General features: G+C 41.3%; 1 protein-coding gene and 1 long non-coding RNA gene across 6 annotated transcripts in view, besides 2 other annotated features; one reads left to right on the forward strand and one right to left on the reverse strand.

Moving 5' to 3' along the window:
- ALG14 (ALG14 UDP-N-acetylglucosaminyltransferase subunit) overlaps positions 1–16,448 on the reverse strand; it is a 98,547-nt gene extending 82,099 nt beyond the window's left edge. For 4 of the 5 annotated variants that reach the window (XR_001737025.2, NM_144988.4, NM_001305242.2 and 1 more), the window contains exons 1-2: positions 16,260–16,448; positions 8,363–8,514 (exon numbers count right to left, since the gene is read on the reverse strand). Coding sequence is in view for 3 of the 5 variants with exons in the window: in NM_144988.4 (NP_659425.1) it covers positions 8,363–8,514; positions 16,260–16,395 (288 nt within the window). In the remaining 2 variants the exon portion in view is untranslated. The remainder of the gene's footprint in view (positions 1–8,362; positions 8,515–16,259) is intronic. The other variant, NR_131032.2, reaches the window with a different exon arrangement.
- Positions 5,093–11,042, forward strand: ALG14-AS1 (ALG14 antisense RNA 1). The gene is made up of 2 exons (NR_132786.1): positions 5,093–5,686; positions 10,541–11,042. It is a non-coding gene; the product is annotated as an ALG14 antisense RNA 1 (long non-coding RNA).
- Positions 15,890–15,969: an enhancer, noted in NCBI's record as "active region_1352". NCBI's record gives its function as "activates an Ori minimal core promoter by ATAC-STARR-seq in GM12878 lymphoblastoid cells {active_cell/tissue: GM12878}" and the evidence as "EXISTENCE:reporter gene assay evidence [ECO:0000049][PMID:35858748]".
- Positions 16,210–16,569: an enhancer, noted in NCBI's record as "active region_1353". NCBI's record gives its function as "activates an Ori minimal core promoter by ATAC-STARR-seq in GM12878 lymphoblastoid cells {active_cell/tissue: GM12878}" and the evidence as "EXISTENCE:reporter gene assay evidence [ECO:0000049][PMID:35858748]".

The raw sequence follows: 23,734 nt of genomic DNA on the forward strand, positions 1-23,734 counted from the left end.
GTGTGGTGGTGCGCTCCCATAGTCCCAGTGACTTGGAAGGCTGAGGTGGGAGGATTGCCTCAGCTGGGAAGATCGAGGCTGCAGTGAGCTGTGATCACGCCACTGCACTCCAGCCTGGGTGAGAGTGAGACACTGTCTCAAAAAAAGAAAAGAAAAATATTAAAACTTCTAGAAAATAACACTTGAGTATAACTCTATGACCTTTAAGTCCTAAGGGAAAATATAAATTTGGATTCCTAAAGGAAAATATAAACATTAAAATCTAAAACTTCTGGCTGGGCGTGGTGGCTCACGCCTGTAATCCCAGCACTTTGGGAGGCCAAGGCGGGCGGATCACGTGGTCAGGAGTTCGAGACCAGCCTGGCCAACATAGTGAAACCCTGTCTCTACTAAAAATACAAAAATTAGCTGGGCATGGTGGTGCACACCTGTAGTCCCAGCTACTAGGAGGCTAAGGCTGGAGAATTGCTTGAACCCAGGAGGTGGAGGTTGCAGTGAGCTGAGATCAGGCCACTGCACTCCAGCCTGGGCAACAGAGCGAGATTCTGGCTCAAAAAAAAAAAAAAAAAAATCTAAAACTTCTCTTCATATAAAACAGTGAAAGGATAAGCAGGAAGAAAATGTATACCGTTTTATATATATATAAATAAATATATATATACATACACATACACACACACAACTCTGTTATATGGATATGGAAATATATTGTCAATGTAACCTTCCAAGAAATATATATATGCACATGCACACACAGTTAGTCCTCCAGATCTATGGGTTCTGCATCTGTGGATTCAATCAACCATGGATCGAAAATATTTGGGGAAAAAAATGGATAACTGTATCTGTACTGGACATGTACAGGCCTTTTTCCCCTTGTCATTATTTCCTAAATAATACAGTATAACAACTATTTACATAGTATTTACACTGTATTAGGTATTATAAATAATCTGAAGGTTATTTAAAGTATATGGGAGGATGAGCAATGTGCAAATACTACGTCATCTTATAAAAGGGACTTGAGCATCTGCGGATTTTGGCATCCGTGCAAGGTCGTGAAAATACATGCACACGCGCACACACACACAGATGGTCATTTCTCCTTAGATGACCATCTGTGTGTGTGTGTGTGTGTGTGTGTATGTAGATATATACATATGACCTATATATAATATGAAAAAGGATTAGTTTACAGAATAGACAAGTAGAAAAAAGAGAAGAAAATGGTCCTAAATTGAAGAAAGATCGTAAGAGTCCACTGAATTCAAGAAAGAATTAATAAGAAAACAGACATGTAGACATGGACTGATTAAATTTCAGAATTCTAAGGAAAGAGAATCAAACTAGGATCAAACATCTTTTCTGGAACTCTGACTGCTGGAAGAGAATGGAATAGTATTTACACACTCTGAGAGGAAAAAATTATGGCATTACAATTAGTATTGTACATCAAGCCAAACAACTGTAGGGATATTATGTCACAACAAAGGTATCTTCAGGCCGGGCATGGTGGGATCACCCCTGTAATCCCAGCACTTTGGGAGGCTGAGGTGGGCGGATCATGAGGTCAGGAGATCGAGACCATCCTGGCCAACATGGTGAAAACCCGCCTCTACTAAAAATACAAAAATTAGCTGGGCATGGTGGCACATGCCTGTAATCCCAGCTACTTGGGAGGCTGAGGCAGGAGAATTGCTTGAACCAGGGAATCGGAAGTTGCCATGAGCCAAGATCACGCCACTGCACTCTAGCCTGGCAACAAAGCGAGACTCCATCTGAAAAAAAAAAAAAAAAAAAAAAAAAAAAAGATATTTTCAGAGATGATAGCCGGGCGTAGTGGCTCATGCTTGTAATCCCAGCATTTTGGGAGGCTGAGGAGGTGGGATCACTTGAGGTCAGAAGTTTGAGACCAGCCTGGCCAACATGGCAAAACCCCATCTTTACTAATAATACCAAAAAAATTAGCTGGGCGCCGTGGCACATGCCTGTAATCCCGACTACTTGGGAGGCTGAGTCAGGAGACTCACTTGAACCCAGGAAGTGGAGGTTGTAGTGAGCCGAGATAGCACCACTGCACTCCAGCCTGGACAACAGAGTGAGATTCATTCTTAAAAAAAAAAAAAAAAAAAAGATACTTTCAGAGCTGAAAAGACTCTGGAAATATACCGTCCATATAACCTTTCTCAAAAAAAAAAAAATACTGAAGGAAACACTTGAGCCAAATAGAAAACAAAATGAAATCAGAAGAAGACATGGTATACAAGAAACAGCGGTGAGTTAAGAGTATATAACTGTTGATGTTATGATGAGATTTAATTAAAAAGTGATACTTGAGCTAGGAGAAAGCTAATGAAAATCTACTCTACAGTTTTTAAAATTTTATTTTTTTTCCTCTCATTCTTGACATTTCATGATTCTTTTCCCTCATATTTGCCTTATTGCCTGGAGAATTCCTTTAGCCTGACTTTCAATTCACAAATAAGGTTTTTGGCTATATTTAGCCTGATAATTACTGACTCAGAACTTTTAATTTTGATAAGCACTTTGTTTTAATTTCCAAGGAATCTTTCTTGTTTTAACATTGCTTCCCTTATTAAAGAGATTATTCTTGGCTGGGCACAGTGGCTGACGCCTGTAATCTCAGCGCTTTAAGAGGCTGAGGCAAGCGGATGACGAGGTCAGGAGTTCGAGACCAGCCTGGCTAACATGGGGAAACCCCGTCTCTACTAAAAATACAAAAATTAGTTGGGCGTGGTGGCGGGCACCTGTAATCCAAACTACTAGGGGGGCTGAGGCAGGAGAATCATTTGAACCCTGGGCGTTGGAGGTTGCAGTGAGCTGAGATCACATCATTGCACTCTAGCCTGGGTGACAGGGTGAGACTCTGTCTCAAAAAAAAAAAAAAAAAAAAAAACATATTATTCTTGTTTATTTGGAATATCTCCTTGAATTTCAATGATAATATGAAATTTAAAAAGTTATTTTCTTTTTTTCTTCCTCTTTTTAAGTTTCTTGTGATCACCCAGGAGCTAAAAAGTTATTTTGTTTCTATGTTAACTTTTGGGAGGGGCCCTTTGTTTTGAATCCGTTAATTATCTTCACAATATCTAATCATATTTCATTTTCAGCTTATTATAAATGAAAGTCTAGATTAGTGTCATCTGATAGAACTTTCTGCAATGATAAAAATGTTCTATTCTATATGATCCAAAATGGTAGCTACTAGCCACATGTGGCTACTAAGCATTAGAAATGAGGCTAGTGCAACCGAGGGACCAAATTTTAAATTTTACTTAGTTTTAATTAATTTAAATTGAAATACACGTAGCCACATATGGCTAGTGGCTACTATACTGGACAGTGCAGGTCTAGATTGTTAATTATACTTGGCTAATATGGGTTCTTCCAGCAAATGTATTGATCACTATTGATTTCTTCAGCAAGACCCCACCTTTTCCTAGTCTGGTGAGCTCCATGGAAGGTACAAAAGATGGCTGAGCTGAAGCGTAGAAAAAGATCAGTAGGGAAACCCCCCCAACCTTAGTAAGGCTTGGCAGGAAGGTGTCTGTCTCTGCCTCTTTGTCTTTCTGTCCTTCACCACCCTCCTATACATACACACACAAACACACACACACACACACACACACACACACACACACACACACACACACGTGGTGGTACCCAGTGGTGGCCAGCAGAAATGTTCACGCTATCTCCCTCAACAGCTCATTTGCATCTCTGCAGAGCTCTTCCCAGCTTCAGATTCATGAGTAGAGGCTCTTTTAGGAATGGAGCAGAATTTTCTCTCTAACAGTGGCTGCATTGCCCCAGTAGGCGACTGTTAGTAAAAGGAAGTTGAACAGAGATGCTTAGTCCTACATTGCACTTCGAAAATACAAAATAATGGCACTATAAAAATCCAAAATCTGGCTGGGCACAGTGGCTCACGCCTGTAATCCCAGCACTTTGGAAGGCTGAGGTGGGCAGATCACGAGGTCAGGAGATCGAGACCATCCTGGCCAACATGGTGAAACCCTGTCTCTATTAAAAAAAAAAAAAAATAGCCAGACATGATAGTAGGCACCTGTACTCCCAGCTACTCAGGAGGCTGAGGCAGGAGAATCGCTTGAACCTGGGAGGTGGAGACTACAGTGAGCTGAGATCACACGACTGCACTCCAGCCTGGGTGACAAAGTGAGACTCTGTTTAAAAAAAAAACAACAAATAAATAAAAATAAAAATCCAAAATATTTTTATAGTTAAGACTATTAATGTGAAGCAAACCCAACTTACTTGGTTCTAAGTGTTGTGATGCACAGTATATAACTACTGTCCCCCTAAAATTCATGTCCACCTGGAATCTATGAATGTGACCTTATTTAGAAATAAGAGCACTGCAGATATGATCAAGTTAAGATGAGGTCCTTCTGAATTAGAGTGGGCCCTAAATCCAACCGGTATCCTCATAAAAAAGGCATGTGAAGACAGAGATACAGAAAAGGTCATATGATGGTGGAAGCCGAGATTAGAGTGACGTAGCTGCAAGCTAAGGAAGGCCAAGCATTGCTGGCCACCACTAGAAGCCAGGAGGAAGCAAGGAGGGATTCTTCTTCAGAACCTCCGGAGGGAGTATGGCCCCATGACACCTTGATTTCAGACTTCTACCCTTCAGAGCTATGAGAAAATACATTTCTGTTATTTTAAGCCACCCAGTTTATGGGTGGCAAAAACCCAGTTTTGTTACAGCAACCCTAAGAAACTAATACAGTATTGATTCCTAAAACAAAAACGAAATCACTTTGGCTTATTTTCCACAGAGGAAAAAAAGTACCACACATTTTGCTATAGCTGAATGATAGCAAGCAGATTTATATACCAATCTTGTTTGACGTGGATTTTTTGAGAATACATTTTAGTAGTATGTTAGTTGGGGATAAGGTTTACAAATGACCAAAAGTTAACACAAACAGCCTTGAGAGAGAGAGAGAGAGAGAGTGTGCGTATGTCACAAAGGTGGGAACAAAGGGAGTGGGGTAGGGTTCTAGGAGTGGGTCCTGATTTCCCAAGAAAAGAACCACCAATCCAGGACCAACACAGCTATAGCAGGGCCTCTTGAGCCACTGAAGGCAGCACCAGACACTGGCTTCTCCTCTCTTCCTGTACATTATCTTCATTCTTCTATCTATAGACTACCTTTATCTTCTAAGTGAAAACATGACTGTCAGCAGCTTTCAAGCTTTATCATTTACAGAGCTTGCCTGAAGACAGACTGATTCCATTCTCTAGGTCTCCAAGCCCAGAAAGCTCAGAGAAAGACTTCGATTGGTCTGAGTTAGGCCAGCTGTCCACCCCTGAACTATCCAGAGCAGCCCTGCAGCTGGGCCGTTCCCAGAGAGAGGGATGGATAAAGGCACTCACTCTACATAAGGAACAGCTCTAGTTTCCTTCCTTAATTAAGAAGTAGTTTCACTTAAAAAAAAAAATCTCTAAACACTGACTAAAATGCTATAATGAAGTGAGCAACCAGGGGTAAAGAAGTACTAATAATTTCAAAGGCAGACACAAGTATGATTTGGAGAAGAAACAGCAGTCATAGATAAATCAAATTATCAATAAACGTAACACATTGATAGAGAGCTTTAATGAAGAGCCAATAAGCACATGAACAGGATGCTTCGTGTATGTAAGTAAAAATAAAATAATTTTCACTATTGGAATTCAACGAAAAACTGCTTTCTCTATTTAAAAGAATAAAAAATATGCAAAAAATTAAGCAACCATTTTTTTTCCTTCAACTTTTAAGTTCCAGGGTATGTGTGCAGGATGTGCAGGTTTATTACACAGGTAAACGTGTGCCATGGTGGTTTGCTGCACAAATTAATCCATTACCTAGGTATTAAGTCCAGCATCCACTAACTATTCTTCCTGATGCTCTACCTCCCCCAACCCCTCCCTTCAACAGGCCCCAATGTGTGTTGTTCCCCCATATGTACCCATGTATTCTCATTGTTCAGCTCCTACTTATAAGTGAAAACGTGTAGTATTTAGTTTTCTGTTCCTGCATTAGTTTGCTGAGGATAACGGCTTCTGGCTCCATCCATATCCCTGCAAAGGACATGATCTTGTTCCTTTTTATTGCTGCATAGTATTTCATAGTGTATATGTACCACATTTTCTTTATCCATTCTATCATTGATGGGCATTTGGGTTGATTCCATGTCTTTGCTATTGTGAATAGTGCTGCAGTGAACATATGTGTGCATGTATCTTTACAACAGAATGATTTACATTCCTTTGGGTATATACCCAGCAATGGGATTGCTAGGTCAAGTGGTATTTCTGCCTCTAGATTTCTGAGGAATCGCCACACTATCTTCCACAATGGTTGAACTAATTTACATTCCCACCAATACTGTAAAAGCATTCCTTTTTCTCCACAACCTCACCAACATCTGTTGTTTCTGGACTTTTTAATAATCGCCATTCTGAGTGGTGTGAGATGGTATCTCATTGTGGTTTTGATTTGCGTTTCTCTAATGATCAGTGATGTTGAGCTTTCTTTCATATGTTTGTTGGCTGCATGAATGTCTTCTTTTGAGAAGTGTCTGTTCATGTCCTTTGCCCACTTTTTAATAACAGTTTTTTTCTTGTAAATTTGTTTAAGTTCCTTGTAGACTCTGTATATTAGACCTTTGTCAGATGGACATATTGCAAAAATTTTCTCCAATCCTGTAGGTTGTCTGTTCACTCTGATGAGTTTCTTTTGCTGTGCACAAGCTCTTTAGTTTAATTAGATCACATTTTTCAATTTTTACTTTTGTTGCAATTGCTTTTGGCATTTTCATCATAAAATCTTTGCCCATGCTGGTGTCCTGAATACTACTGCTTAGATTTTCTTCTAGGGTTTTTATAATTTTGGGTTTTACATTTATGTCTTTAATCCACCTTGAGTTAGTTTCTGTATAAAGTGTAAGGAAGGAATCCAGCTTCAATTTTCTGCATATGGCTAGCCAGTTCAACTCCTTGCAAAATAGAAAATTCTTTCCCCATTGTTCGTTTTTGTCAGGTTTGTAGATCAGATGGTTGTAAATGTGTGGTCTTATTTCTGAGTTCTCTATTCTGTTCCATTGGTCTGTATCTGTTTTTGTACAAGTATCACGCTGTTTTGGTTACTGTAGCCTTGTAGTATAGTTTGAAGTCAGGTAGCATGATGCCTCCAGCTTTGTTCTTTTTGCTTAGGATTGTCTTGGCTATTTGGGCTCCTTTTTGGTTCCATATGAATTTTAAAATAGTTTCTTATAATTCTGTGAAGAATGTAAATGGTGGTTTAATGGGAATAGCATTGAATCTATAAATTACTTTGGGCAGTATAGCCATTTCACAATATTGATTCTTCCTATCCATGAGCATGGAATGTATTTCCATTTGTTTGTGTCCTCTCTGATTTCACTGAGCAGTGGTTTGTAGCTCTCCTTGAAGAGGTCCTTCACTTCCCTTGTTAGCTATATTCCTAGGTATTTTATTCTTTTTGCAGTGATTGTGAATGGGAGTTCATTCATGATTTGGGTTTCGGCTTGCCTGTTGTTGGTGTATAGGAATGCTAGTGATTCTGCACATTGATTTTGTTTCCTGAGACTTGGCTAAAGTTGCTTATCAGCTTAAGAAGTTTTTGGGCTGAGACAATGGGATTTTCTAGATATAGGATCATGTCATCTGCAAGCAAGGATAATTTGACTTCCTCTCTCCCTATCTGAATACACTTCATTTCTTTCTCTTTCCTGATTGCCCTGGCCAGAACTTCCAATACTATGTTGAATAGGAGTGGTGAGAGAGGGCATCTTTGTCTCGTGCTAATTTTCAAGGGGAATGCTTCCAGCTTTTGTCCATTCAGTATGATATTGGCTCTGGGTTTGTCATATATGGCTCTTATTATTTTGAGGTATGTTCCTTCAATACCTAGATTATTGACAGTTTTTAACACGAAAGGATGTTGAATTTTATCAAAGGCCTTTTCTGTGTCTATTGAGATAATTACGTCGTTTTTGTCTTTAGTTCTGTTTATGTGATGAATTACATTTATTGATTTGCGTATGTTGAATCAACCTTGCATCCCGGGTATGAAGCCAACTTGATCATGGTGGATAAACTTTTTGATGTGCTAAGCAACCATTTTTTAATTTGAAGATTTATTTTATAGAAATTCATATCTTTTGGTAGCAAAGGAAATGTATTTCATCACCAGCAAACATTTGACTGCCCATTGTGGGTAGGGCACTGAAGTGCCATGAGATTATTACTAGAGACAATTAAACTCAATGTGCAACTTGTAATTTTCTTAGAAATAGAAATTGTCACTTACCATGTTACTAGGGTCTCTATCAGCTCGATCTAGTTCAAAAGAATTTATTTTATTGGCACTCATTTCATCAGTGTCAGCAATGACATAATGTCTAGGTGAGTAGGCATTGGACAAGCTCCCAAGCAGCCTCAGGATCTCAGTGGTATGCCCACCTGGAAAAAATATCAGAAGTCCTAAGATTAAGAAACCCACAATGGACATATCCATTTGACCATGTTATACCAATATCATGGTTTCAGGTTGGGGGTGGGGGGGCACTGTAATTGTATATTTCTCAGAAGACACAAGGAACATTTGAAAACAATAAATCTATGCCCTCGTATAAATACAACTTTTATATCAAAAGCAGATAATACATGTATAAAAATAAAATCAGCACTAGCAGTAGGTACTAAGGAAGGCACAAAACAGTATAAGACATAGCTCTTGCTATCAAGAAGACTGGTGAGAAAGGGGCAAGACACATATATGAAGACAAAGAAGATGCAAGACAGTAAGAAAAACTAAAATGTGAAGGGTAAGCAAATGGTTATGAAAAATCAATGCCTTAAAAATAAGGAAGAACCCCGGAAAAGGCTGAGATGACTTGAAAGGTGAAGATAATGGAGAGATAGGAGTAGGGAGGCCACTGGGTGGAGATGGGGATTGTTAGGGCATGAGATGACAAGATCTGAAACATGTGTTCAAAGAGTGATAGCAATACTGGGAAGAAGGGTACAGGTGAAATAAGGCACGAAAGCAGGATGGGAAAAGGGAAGCCAGTCACTGAAGGTTCTATGTAGAGAAGTAAGGTGAAGGGGGCATGAGCGCTGATCAGCAGGGCTTGGGCCTTCCTAAGAAACATCTTTTGTTCACCACTGTAACCCCAGCTCCTATGAGAGGTCTCAGCACACTGCAGGTCCTCAAATATTTATCAGCTTCACCAAATGAGTAATGTTCAGTTTCTGAAATAATATAATCTCCAAAATTTTAATACATTAATTTTGAAAGCATAAATTTAAAAATCAACTATGTTCATTGAGACAATGAAAACATTGTTTATGAAAACAACAATAGAATATCTACCTATCTATAAACGATTTAAGCACAACAGTCAAACTCCTTATCAAGGAGCCCTATCACACCCATTTCAGTCTCGTTTCACAAGCTCTCTGCCTCAGTCAGGTTGATGTCTTCAACATTCTCTGCATTCACCTTATTCGTTACTCACTCCTTGCCTCTGGTCATGCTGCTCCCCCTACCTACAAGGCTTCCTCCACCCCACCTCCCTTATTGTTGTAAGAAAGAGTATATAGTGATACAAGAACACAAACAAAGATAAATTAAACATGAGTTTTCCCCCAACACAAATTCCCTCCACCCCCTCACCTCCCCCCAGGTGGAGTTTCACGCTTGTTGCCCAGGCTGGAATACAATTGTGTGATCTCGGCTCATTGCAACCTCCACCTCCCAGGTTCAGGCGACTCTCCTGCCTCAGCCTCCCGAGTAGCTGCAATTACATGCGTGTGCCACCACGCCCGGCTAATTTTTGTATTTTTAGTAGAGACAGAGTTTCACCACATTAGTCAGACTGGTCTTGAACTCCTGACCTCAGGTGATCCACCCACTCGGCCTCCCAAAGTACTGGGATTACAGGCGTGAGCCACCATGCCAAGCCCACATTTTTTTTTAATAGTAGAAAGGAAAGGATTTCGTTCTAGATCCCAGAAGGAATTATATATAGAAACAAATTTGGCATAGATTTAGTGTGAATTTCAGGAATTAAAATCATACATTAGCTTTATAACCTGTCACCCATCTTCTTGACTGGGGCATATAATTTACACATCTGGTTTATACTCATTTTAGTATCTTTGGTTTAGCCTCGAAAAAAAACAAAAAAGTTAGGCCAGGTGCGGTGGCTCATGCCTGTAATCCCAGCTATTCAGGAGGCTGAGGCAGGAGAATCACCTGAGACTGCACTCCAGCCTGTGCAACAGAGCGAGACTCTGTCTCAAAAAAGAAAAAAAAAACAAGTGGTGGTACTCCAAGTAGGTATTTGTTTTCACAGCTGGAATAATTAAGGATAAAACCTAATATCCACAACATCTTCCACTACAATTAAAACTTCATTATACCTGCTTTAATAGTCTTTTATTTCCTTTTTTAAACTTTTTATTTTTATTTTTATTTTTTAAGGAAACCCTCATTGAATACTGTGAAAGTTGTCAGGATAAAAATAGAGTCACTTGTGACAAAATGGAGCTGGGAAAGGCCATGAAGGAAGGGTTCTTAATGCTCAATCGCCTGAAAACAAGAACTGTTACAAAAGACTATACCAAAACCACAACCTTGTACAAAGGCCACTGCAACCTTATGCAAAAAAAAACTTCTGCAAGGACATCTGCCCAGCAGTTGCCTGCCTAACCTTGGACTGATGCCACCCTTATTATTGATCCCTGTAAGCAAGGATAATTGTTTCAAAACAACTTATGTAACCCTCCCCATTTTAGCTTTAAAAATTGCTGTCTTCCCTTGCCTCTTTGAATGTGCCCATAGTTTACTCGGCATGTGTGTTCCACACTACAATGCTTACTCTTGAATACACTTATTATCTTTGGAGAATCTCTCTCTGTTATTTAGCTTGACAGTATATTCACTGAAAATTTAAACTTGTTACTGAATAAAGTCATTAAAATGATGGATTTTGTCTTCCATTTTACTCTTTTATTGATACATTTTTTTTGAGAATAAGAATCTCTAAGTTCTACCTTAAAATACATCCAGCATCCAATCATTTCTCACCATTTCTTTTGCTACTCCCCTGCTCCAGGCCACTATCACCTCTCATACGGATTATGAACAGTTTCTTGATCTGTTCCCTGACCCACTTCCCCTTCAGTCTATCGCAACATAACATCCCGTGTGACCCTATTCGAGTTGATCAAATTATTTACTTCTGCTCAAAATCCTCCAGTGGCTTCATGTCTCATGTGAAATAAAAGGCTTCTTATACTCTGACCTCAACTATGTTCCCTCTTGGAGCTCATCTCCTGTTCCTCCCCGCTTACTCAGTCTACTCTAATCACTCTAGCCTCCTTGCTGTTGGCTGTCATCTCCCCAAGAAGGCTTTCCCTGACAATCTTCATAAAAAAGCAATGCCCCTTCCCCAAATCGTAGTGTTTATCACTGCATAACTTACTATGTAGTCTATTTATTTGTTTTGCTTTTTATCTCCCTCTATCCATGCCTCACTAGAAGGCAAGCACCATACTATGAGGGCAGGGATTTGTGTTTGTTACTGCTGTACCTCCTATTCCTAGAAATAGCAGGCTGTCCTATTGAATGAAAGAATGAATGTTTGATATTAAATCTAACATTTGCCTAAGAAGGCTGTATTATGTTTCAAAGAAAAGTAGTTTTGGCAAATGTTCTCTGAACAGAAGTGATCTACTAATAATTTTTTATTTTTTTGAGATGGAGTCTTGCTCTGTTGCCCAGGCGTGATCTCGGCTCACGGCAACCTCTGCCTCCTGGGTTCAAGCGATTCTCCTGCCTCAGCCTCCTGAGTAGCTGGGATTACAGGCACCTGCGACCATGCCCAGCTAATTTTTTTGTATTTTTTAGTAGAGATGGGGTTTTGCCATGTTGGCCAGGCTGGTCTTGAACTCCTGACCTCAGGTGATCCACCTACCTCAGCCTCCCAAATTGCTGGGATTACAAGCGTGAGCCACAGTGCCTGGCCTACTAATAATATTTTATGATATCTAAAGAGTAAATGTCGCTTGGTCTTCAAGGTAAATATTGAAAATGCCTTCTGCCTCCTCCAAAATTTTGGGCATGAACTATTAAACTGCTTATTTGATTACAAGTCTTCCTTTAATTGGCATGGTTCTTTCAGGCCCTTGATACCTTCCTACCCTCAATAATCTGAATGAAGGCACCATTTGCCAGGTGAATTATCAACCTTAATTTTGGTTTCTAGTCCACCAAATGTAACACTATCAAGTGAATGGTTCTAACATCCATCCATTTGTTCAAGTCAGAAACCTGGAAATCACCCTTCAGTCCTTCCCTCCCACATCCTCTACTTTCAATCCACAGTTGTGGATTTAACTCCTAAAATCTTCCAATCTCATCTGAATGCGATTGCTTTTCTCCAGCCCCACACCTATCACTCCAGTCAGACTCCAGTCTCTCAACTCTGGCCATTCCAAGTGCTATCACCTTCTTTTCACATCCTTATCTGAAATATTCAAAAGGCTCCTATTTGTTTCTCTACTTCGGTCTTTGTCAAGACATTCTTTTGACAATGCAGGCTTGAAGTGGGTGACTCTCCACTGAAAAAGATAAGTCATGTGCGGTGGCACGTGCCTGTGGTACCAGCTACTCGGGAGGCTGTCTCAGAATCGCTTGATCCCAGGATTTAGAGGCAAGCCTGGGTACATAACAAGAGTCTGTCTTAAAAACAAAAACCAAAACAAAACTTCAAAAGCTCCTTTTGCCACCAAGACTAATAACAGTAACCATTTATTAAATGCTTATGTAAAAAGAAAAGAAAATGTCAAGACCTTCCAAATTTATTATGCCAAGGGGAAAAGCTAAGCCCTGGAAACTGACTCATGTAACATGGCTTTTTCTCTTTGGTGTATGTCTGTTGCTTCCTGACCTTTGTGTTGAGATGTTATACATTAACCAGATTCCCTAGTCTTTATTCAAACCTAGACTAAATGACATTGGAGATAGAGGCCTTTGTGATTGTTACCTCCTTATACCAGAATGTTAAACAAATCCCTTAGTGTGTAATCAATAGTAGTGTTGGGACTTAGAAAATAATATCCCAAAATGAAGGCCTTAGAAGCAAAAATTTTTCTCTGGCCTTCTCCTGTCCTCTGTCTCTCAGTCCCATACTCCCCTGAGGCTTGCCATAGAAACTAGAATCTCTCTTCCCCAGGGCGGGTCACAGAAACCAAGAACTCCTTCTCCCAAAAGCTGGTCATAAAACCTAAAAATACTACTCTAATTTTACTCCACCTTTCTGTGTAAAAACTGGCCATAAAGAAATTATCCGAGCTGGGGAGCTGGGCGAGGTGGCTCACACCTTTAATCCCAGCGCTTTGGAAGGCAGGAGAATTGCTTGAGGCCAGGAGTTCAAGACCAGTCTGGCACACATAGCAAGACACCATCTCTATTTTTAAAATTAATTAATTAAATTAAAAAAATTATCTGATCTACCTTGTTTGACGGTAGGTCATAAGACCCCCATTCCAGAGAGGGCCCTACCCCACATCCAGAAGGAAAGGAATGCATGCTCAGAGAGACCAAGAAAAATCTAGACAGGCCTTGCTGGGCTTCCCTACTGTCTATTAGCATTAAATTATACCCTTTTGTCCAGTCATAATTCTACATGGCTGTCCATACTTTGCTGAACCTAAGCATAAAAACAGACCATTTCCCTTGTATCTCTGGGTCTTCATTCAGAACACTTTCATATATGCTTCATAAATTTGTATGCCTTTTCTCCTATTATTTCTGCCTCATCAGTGATTTTCAGTGAAACTTCAGAGGGCAAAAGGGAAGTTTCCCCTTGGCCCTTACAGTAGCCAACCAAATCTTGTATCTGTATGTTGGCCTTTGTATGGAAAATATTGTAATTTTGTTCAGCATCTCTGTTCTTGCGTATACAAACTACCTTCATTCTTCCCCACATGGGGAGCACTGATTACATTCTTTGGTATAGGTTTGCTCCCCAGACACCCAATCTCACGCTTTGTGCTTGAATAAACTCTTCTAACTGGATATTGAGCCCTTTGATTATTTTAGGTTGACACTATATGTCAAGCACTTTACTGAACACTTTATTTTTTAATTTAAGCTTTTGATTATATCATTTTATTTTATTTCATTTTGAGACAGGGTCTCACTCTGTCAACCAGGCTGGAGTGCAGTGGCACAATCTCAGCTCACTGCAACCTCCACCTCCCAGACTCAAGTGATCCTCCTACCTCAGCCTCCCAAATAGCTGGGACTATAGGTGCATGCCACCACATCCACCTAATTTATTTATTTATTTTAATGTAGAGACAGGGTTTCACTATGTTGCCCAGGCTGGTCTCCAACTCCTAAGCTCAAGCAATCCGCCTGTATCGGCCTCCCAAATTGCTGAGATTACAGGTGTGAACCATCACGCCCGGCCTAAACACTTTAAATATGATCCTATTTAATCTCTCCTGTCCTCTCTCAACCCATGTAGAAACAGAAGGTTCAGCGAGGTTAACTAATTGCCTGAGATCCCCAAGGTAGTAAGTGGCAGAAATGTGATTCATGTGTGGTGTTATGACAACCTAGAGGCCTGTGGTCTTAACCCCTACATGATATCAACAGTGGAGTAGCAGCAATTGCTTTATAAAGCAGGATTTTAGGCCAGGGGTGGCTCACGTCTGCAACCCCAGCACTTTGGGATGCTGAGGCAGGAGGATCACTTGAGGTCGGAAGTTCAAGACCAGCCTTGGTCAACATGGTGAAACACTGTCTGTACTAAAAATACAAAAATTAGCTGAGTGTGGTGGTGCGCCTGTAATCCCAGCTACTCGGGAGGCTGAGGCAGGAGAATGGCTTGAATTTGGGAGGTGGAGTTGCAGTGAGCTGAGACTGCGCCACTGCCCTCCAGCCTGGGCAACAGCGTGAGACTCTGTATAAAAAAGAAAAAAAGCAAGATTTTAAATACTCTTTACAATCTGGACTCAGTTTACCTCCCTACATTGAACTCTACACGATAGTGTTCTCTCAACTCTGGTCATTCCAAGTGTTATCACCTTCTTTTCACATCCTCCCAGCCCTCGAAACCCTGGCTGTCCCTCATCTGACTAATTCTGGGTCATCTTTCAAGTTTCAGTTTAGCATCATTTCTTCCAGGAAGCTGTCTGTTTTTTAAGACCTGATAAAGTAGTGCCCTTCCTGAAGACTGCCATAGCAATTTGTACTTCTTACACAATTATTACAAGATTATAGCATTTATCTCATTGTGGCAAATACTCATTTTGATTTATTTTCTGTTAGTTTTTTTGTATTCTCTATTTCATTTACTGCTGTATCTTTGCATCTCTCACAGGACTTAGCACGGAGTCAGCACTCCGTGGCAAGTAATGTTAGTCAGTTTTGTTATTTCCAGAGGTTAGTTTAGTGTTTGGTCTTTCTAACAGCTCAAAACAGATTAAGTGAATAAAGTAATGCGTTATACTTGAACATAAACTTAGTACATTTACTCATACTATACATGTTCTATCTGGATGCAATCTCCTGCCATACCCAAATGTTTACATTGTGTCTGTGTGTGTCTGTCTGTCCCTGTCAAATATGTGTATTTAAAATTGTAAGCACCTACAGAGTTGGTGGATTTAGATTGTATTACCTGACAGGTCAGTGTGTTGCTCACACTCTGCCACCGCGTGTGTATTGTTCTACAGCCCGTAGATCATTGTTTTTATCCTCTTGGACTTTGTATATTTATAAATGTGACAATTCATTTTGCCTCATTTGTCATGTAGCATTCGTGTTTCCTAAACTAAATACGCAATACCTAGATTAATAATGCACAACAGCCATACGGGGAAACTGCATGTTTGCATCAAAAGGCTTCTACGTTCTCTGTTCACTAATTGTTTGAAAAATATACGCTACAGAGAGTCTTAATTATAGACAAGTGTAAATTACTTGTCATAAAAAAAACCTCTGGGCCGCGTCAGCAAACCAGCCCCTACCCTGGCTGGACTGCCCGGTTCCGGCAAGGCAGAGAAACTACAAATCTCTGCATGCAACACTCCAAGAAGTGCTAAGGGTACCAGGGAAGAGCGTCGCGGTGCACTCTGGGGTTTGTAGTGACCAACCCAAGTCCGACAGTCGCCTCCTCGATACTTACCGGACCCAGCCACTACCAAGATACTGAGAGACTCCCGGGGCGTAACGTCCATGGAACGAAGCACTACCCATATTCGCAGGATTAGGAAAACCGCCACAGCTCCTGCGGCCGCAGCTAGAACGAGAACGCACACCATGCAGAGAAACGGCGCATGCGTCCAACTTCCGGGGACCAGCCGCTGTCAAAGTTCACAACTACGGGTGCCGAAGCGACTCAAACGCGGAGGACGCACGTCTTGGTGGGCTGGTCTTTCCTGAGCTGGGAGGAGTGGAGGCGACGGAGAAGCTGAGGTCCCAGTCACAATCCATTTTACCTCATTTATCATGTAGTATTCGTGTTTCCTAAACTAAATACGCAATACCTAGATTAATAATGCACAACAGCCATACAGGGAAACTGCATATTAGCGTTAAAAGGTTTCTACGTTCTGTACGTTCACGTTTGTCAGCGGAACCCCTGCTTCTGCGCGGATTGTGCGCAGCTGCAGCCAAGCGTAAGCTGAAAATTGTAAAGTTAAGCGCTGGGGAAGCTTGATTTACGCCCACGACGAGGTCAGGCAGTCTCTGCGCCCTAAAGGTCCCGAAACTCCCCAGTTAGGAGGTGTTCTGGCTCTGTCAACTTCGTGAATGCCACCTGAAGCTAAGGGAATACATCCTTTCTTTCTTTCTTTTTTTTTTTTTAATGCCAAGAGAAATGTTTCTGTTGCACACAGACATTACTGAAAGTGTTCGCCAGTAAGGACCCTAGGCTTAAACATCGAATTTAGGGCCCTCATCCAAACCCCCTGTCTCCCAACATGTATGTTTTTAACTTTTCTCGAGGTTTTCACAGCTCTCAGTGTGACCAGAGTAGTTGAGGGTGACCACCTAAAGGTAAGCCACACTCCTAAGAGGATTGCAAAGCTCAGTGGCTCTAGGTAGCAGGATAGACAAGGCACAGTCCTACAATTAATATTCAGTTAATTTTATCACAAAGCATTTCCAGTGTGTTTCTCATGTCCTCAGCCAAAATGATGATCTGCCAACACCCCCTTCAATCTCAATTTTGCTTATGTCTAATTAATTAATTGTTAATAAATTAATTATGTCTAATTAATCCACATTACGACAACATAAAATACTAAGATCAGGAGCCCCTTCACCCCAAATATAATTTGCCTTCGGTCCACCATAGACCTACCTGTAGGTTATATTGAACAGGTATACAGATGAGTAAAAAGGTTCAGAAAGGTGCAACTGCTTGCCCAAGTGGAATAGCGTCAGATCTAGAATCAGAAACCAGAAATCTGAGTCCTGCTGGACAGGAGTACTGCATCCTGTATTCCTTTGCTAAATTCAAACTTGCCTGATCACCACACTTACCTGGAGCCTAGAATGTGTTATTAAAGGTGCAGACTCCCAGGGTCCATTAGGAAACACTGAATCAGAATTTCCGGGGATCGGGCACCTGGGATTAGCTTATGTAACCAGCGTGTCCATTCCTATCAGCAAGCAAGTTTGGGAGACTTTGTGAGTAGAGTCCGTGGACCTTACAACACTTTCCAAATTGTCTTCCATCAAATCTTCTTTCTTTTCTTTTCTTTTCTTTTTTTTTTTTTTTGAGACAGAGTCTCACTCTGTCGCTTGGCTGGAGTGCAGTGGCACAATCTTGGCTCACTGCAACCCCCACCTCCCAGGTTCAAGCGATTCTCCTGCCTCAGCCTCCCAAGTAGCTGGGACTACAGGCATGCACCACCATGCCTGGCTATTTTTTTTTTTTTTTTTTTTAGTAGAGACAGAGTTTCACCATGTTGGCCAGGCTGGTCTCGAACTCCTAACCTCAGGTGATCTGCCCGCCTCTACCTCCCAAAGTGCTGGGATTACAGGCATGAGCCACTGCGCCCGGCTCCATCAAATCTTCTTAACTATACATTCTCGCAGTAAGACCTTAAAGTGGATATTAGTTCCCTTTTTACAGACAAAGAAGTAGATTCCATAAAAGTTAAATAATTTGCCTAAGTCTACTTAGCTAGTAAGGGTGGAGAAAGTTCATAGTTGTGGACTTAGAAGTCAGTGTCTCTCAAATTTTAATGGAATCAGAATTCTCTGGGCTTACAAATGCGTAGTTGGAAGTCCAGAGGTAGGGTCTTTGGTGTAGTAAGAAAAACAGCTCAAGGATAATACAAGGAGTATCATTTACTTGTATATGCCCACTCTGCCATTCCTAATAATGTCTTCAACCTGAAACAGTCTTACCTGATACTTAAGACACTAGTGGTCCCAGAATGGGATGTGTGGATGGTTACATCCAACAGGGCAATCTCCATAGCCAAAAAAGAGGTTATCTTGTCGGGTCTTTTTTGCCCCTCCCCCCCAGTCTTGCTCTGTGGCACGGTCTCGGCTCACTGCAACCTCCACCTCTGGGATTCAAGCAATTCGCCTGGCTTAGCCTCCCAAGTAACTGGGACTACAGGTATGCGCCACCACACCCAGCTAATTTTTGTATTTTTAGTAGAGACGGGGTTTCACCATGTTGGTCAGGTTGGTCTTGAACCTGACCTCATGATCCGCCCACCTCAGCCTCCCAAAGTGCTGGGATTATACGGGTGAGCCATGACGCCCGGCCTGCTTTATTTTTTATTTTTTTAAAGGCAAGGAAACTTATTCTAGAACCCCTCACAGCAGACTTTCTTTCACTCCTTTTGGCCATACTTATATCACTTTCCCAGGCATAAAAGGAAAGCGACTTCAAAGCTGGTGGAGGTGGGAGGAGGATGATCTACAACTCACCTGTAATACATGGCTGTTGGATGGAGGGTGGGTACTGAACAAAATAGGCATTCTCTCAGTGAGGAGGAAGCTGCAGGGAGGGTTGTTGGGTAGGCAAACAATAGCATCTAGATTGCTGTGATGATGATGTGTCTGAAACAGCTTTGTAAACTGACACATGCAATGAAAATGTCAGGCATATGATAATTACTTAGCTCCAGGCCCCAAGCTCTATATTAAGGTAGATTTAATACTTGGAGGACACCCTTGCATTTCCCATTACTTCATCCCCTCACTATTATAATTACCTATATCTGTAGGAAATATTAGTTTGACCACACTTGGCATGTAGCTGGAATGAATGGAAGCAATCAAACATTGGGGGCTTGCAAGGAAATGCAGAGAATCAAAGAGGGTGGGGTACCAGACATTGTTTGGACTTATTGGTTGAATTATTCTGAATTAAGGTGATCATAAAACTCTTTAGTTTTCCTGCCAAGAAAGTTGAGAACTGCAGGGAGCAGCTAGGTAGCAGGCAGGGACAGGAACATAGCTGAGAATTCCTGCCAAAAATGTCACCTGGGTAAGCCAAGTCCTGGGCTGTGACAGACACAGAATGTATAGATAATCAAGAAGTCAAGAAGCTGTAGTGGGCCAGGCATGGTGGCTCATGCCTGTAATCTCAGCAATCTAGGAGGCCAAGGCAGGAGGATCACTTGAACCTCAGAGTTTGAGACCAGCCAAGGCAACAGAGTGAGACCCTATCTCTGTAAAAAATTAACCAGGCATGATGGTGGTGTGTACCTGTAGTCCCAGCTACTCAGGAGGCTGGGGTGGGAGGTTTGCTTAAACCCAAGAGATCAAGGCTGCAGTGAGCCATATTTGCACTACTGCACTCCAGCCTGGGTGACAGAGACCCTGTCTCAAAAAAAAAAAAAAAAAAAAAAAAAAAAAAAAGGCCAGGTGCGGTGGCTCATGCCTGTAATCTCAGCACTTTGGGAGGCTGAGGAGGGTGGATCAGCTGAGATCGGGAGTTTCAGACCAGCCTGACCAACATGGAGAAACCCCGTCTCTACTAAAAATACAAAATTAGCAGGGCATGGTGTCACATGCCTGTAATCCCAGCTACTCAGGAGGCTGAGGCAGGAGAATTGCTTGAACCCGGGAGGGGGAGGTTGCAGTGAGCTGAGATCGTGCCATTGCACTCCAGCCTGGGCAACAAGATCGAAACTCTGTCTCAAAAAAAAAAAAAAAAAGCTATAGTGGATTAATCAGGAAAGTTAAGACTGAGTGAGAAGAAGCAACAATTAAAATTTCTCTTGGGAAGATGAGTTGCGCTGACAGTACATTTAACAGATTCATGGAAGTAAATTATAGTGCTGCAAAAAGCATGAAAACTATGTTAATAGTTGACAAAATGAATAACGATATGTGGTCTATAACCAGTCATAAGTAAAGCATGTCTGGGAGGTGATTTTTTTTTTTTTTTTTCTGAGACAGGGTCTCACTCTGTCACCCAGGTTGGCATGCAGTGATGCGCTCTCAGCTCACTGCAGCCTCAACCTCCCTGGGCTCGGGAGATGCTCTCACCTCAGTGTCCCAAGTAACTGGGACTACAGGTGTATGCCACCATGCATGGCTAATTTTTGTATTTTTTGTAGAGTCAGGGTTTTACCACATTGCCCAGGCTGGTCTCAAACTCCTGAACTCAGGCAATCCACCCGCTTCAGCTTCCCAAAGTGCTGGGAGTACAGGTGTGAGCCACGTAGCTCAGCCTGGGAGGTGATTTTTATTCTCTTCTTTTTTTTTTTTTTTTGAGACAGAGTCTCACTCTATCGCCCAGGCTAGAGTGCAATGGCGCGATCTCAGCTCACTGCAACCTCCGTCTCCAGGGTTCAAGCCATTCTCCTCGCTCAGCCTCCTTAGTAGCTGGGATTATAGGCGCCTGCCACCACATCCGGCTAATTTTTCGTATTTTTAGTAGAGACGGGGTTTCACTATGTTGGCCAGGCTGGGCTCGAACTCCTGACCTCATGATCTGCCCGCCTCGGCCTCCCAAAGTGCTGGGATTACAGGCATGAGCCACCACACCTGGACAATTTTTATTCTCCTCTTAAATCTATTTCCCAAAGTTTCTACAGCAAATATTACTCATGCACATTTTTAAAGTTATTTTAGAAGTTCAGATAATTTTGTACTTTTCTGTAGGATTGTACATGTTAATTTATTCAACATATTTAATAAGCATCTGCTATGTGCCAGACACTGTTTTAGGTGCAGGGGATGTCATATAAATAAGACAGTGGTCCAGGCAAAAACTTTGGACTAGGGAGATAACAGTGGAGGGAGAAGAGGTCAGATTTGATATACATTTTATGGGTAGAGTCAATAAAACTTGTTAAGGGATTAGATATTGGGGATTAAAAAACAAGGAGGAATCCAGATGACTCCTAGATTTTTTGATTCAAAACTGGTTAGGTGGTATTATATGCAAAGAATAGACAGACTGAAGGAGAAACAAGCTTTTGTGGGTAGGGGAAGGGGAGGAGATGATGAAAGTGAAGTGGTCTGTTTTTGACTTTAGTTTGAATAACCTGCTAGGCATCCAAGTGGTTATGTCAGATAGGCAGTTTTATGTGCAGACCTGAAGCTTGGGTCAGATCTAGTGGTATAAATTTAGAATTCATTAGCGTATAGATGGTATTTAAAGCTATCGGATTGGGTGAGATCACCAAAGAAGAGTTGAGGTCAGTCCTGTCAAATAGAACTTTCTACAATGATATAAGTGTTCTGTATCCATGTTGTATACTATCCACATGTACCTTTTAAGCAATTGAAATATGGCTAGTGTGATTGAGGAAATGAGTTTTATTTCATTTAAATTATTTTAAATTTAAATAGACACATGTGGCTAGTGGCTACTGTATTGGACAGTGCAGGATAGAGAAGAGTCTGGAGGCACTAACATTCAGAGGTCTAGTAGAGGAAATTGAGCCAGCAAAGAAGATGGAAAAGAAAAGGGGTGATAAGAGGAAAATTAGCAAAGAATGGTGTCCCCAAAAACCAAAAAAGGAAAATAATTGAAGAATGAGAGTGCAGTCAGCTATGTCACATGCTGTTGACAGGTGGGATCAGACATTTTGGGAACAGGTTAGTCACTGGAGATCTAAATAAGGTAGTGATGGAAGGCAGATGGAAATGAAAAGAAAGAATGGGACATGAAAAAGAAAAAAAAAACAGTCTCCAGTTATCGCAGGTTTTTCTTTGAGGGGAATGGATAAATTGGGTGGGAGATGGAGGAGCATTTGGAATTGAGGAACCTTATTTTTTTAAGATGGGAGTTAATTGACATATTGATGTTAAAAAGAGGCGGTAGAGGAAAATTGCTGTGGGAGGGAAAAAGAATGAGCACAGGAATAAATATCTTCAAAAGATGGAATGGTTTGGAACCTGGAGCACAAGTGGGGAAGTTGGACTTTGATAGGAGGAACGACCCTCATTCTGTCGTAACAGAATGGAGAACAGGGATGAATGTAGATATAGGGATGTTTGTAGAATCTGTGGTGAGTCAATGAGAGTGTGGAGAGTGTACAGTGTGGGAAGCTTGAAGGAAGACAAGGTATGAAATAATCATCTTAAAGAGTAATTGGCACACTCACCAGGACCAGTGTAGGATTTCTGGGCAGATTATAATGCCCATTTGAGGCTTCTGATAGCAAATATAATGAGAAACTAGTCAGCATAATTTTATATATTTTCCCCCCAGTGGAAAAGGCAGATAGTTGGTGCTATGGTTTGACTGTGTCCTCCAAAAAGCATGTGTTTGAAATGTAACCTCCAGTGGAACTTTGTTGGGCGGTGGGGCCTAATGGGAGGTGTTTAGTTCACGAGGGCTCCACCCTTATGAGTGGAATAGTGCCATTATGAAAGGGCTTGATGCTGCAAGTTCCATCTCTTGCTCTCTTTGTGTTCTTTTGCCCTTCTGCCTTCTGCCTTCTGCCAGCCTTGGATTTTGTACTTCCCAGCCTCCAGAACCATGAGGAATAAATTTCTGTTCATTATAAATTACCCAGTCTCAGGTATTCTGTTATAGTAGCACAAATATACCAAGGCAGTTGACTAGAGTTGGAGCATTGATGGGTGAATACAAAGGAGAGAGAAGACGCTCTTCAAGGGAGTGAGGTCTGTGGAATTTCATGTAATCCTAGTAGAAAATGAAGACAGGAGGGTGGGGGTGGGGGAGTGGATGAATAGTAGCATGGTAGTAAGATCTGTGGATTGGAGGCCCCCAGAAGATTGAAAAATTGCAATGAAAGAACTAGAGTAAGTGAACTGTAGACATAAGAGATGGTCAGAGAGTGGAATGCTTGAAGTGAATGTTGTGTTATTACCAGTAGTAGTATTTAGAGTATCACTGGGAATGGATGAAAAATATCACTGCATCCTGAAATCACTGAGGGGTAGAGAGGAAAATAATTAGCTAGGAGCTCATGTGTTCAAAGAGTAAAAAATTGGAGAGTGGTAGCAATTAAAAAGATCATTGGGTATGAGCTGGATATCTTCCATCTGTCTCTCCAGATTCATTCTCCATGCTTTCCCACTTCACTCAGTTCCATGTTAGCTGAGACTTAGGGACTAAATCAACCGGTTTCCTTGCCCTCTGATTCTTGTTGAGTTTGGCCAGTGATGATCTTCAGCAGAAGATCTGATGGAGGGAAGGCTGTGTCC

This window comes from Homo sapiens, chromosome 1 (genome assembly GCF_000001405.40).
Source record: "Homo sapiens chromosome 1, GRCh38.p14 Primary Assembly".
NCBI classification, from domain to species: Eukaryota; Metazoa; Chordata; class Mammalia; order Primates; family Hominidae; genus Homo; species Homo sapiens.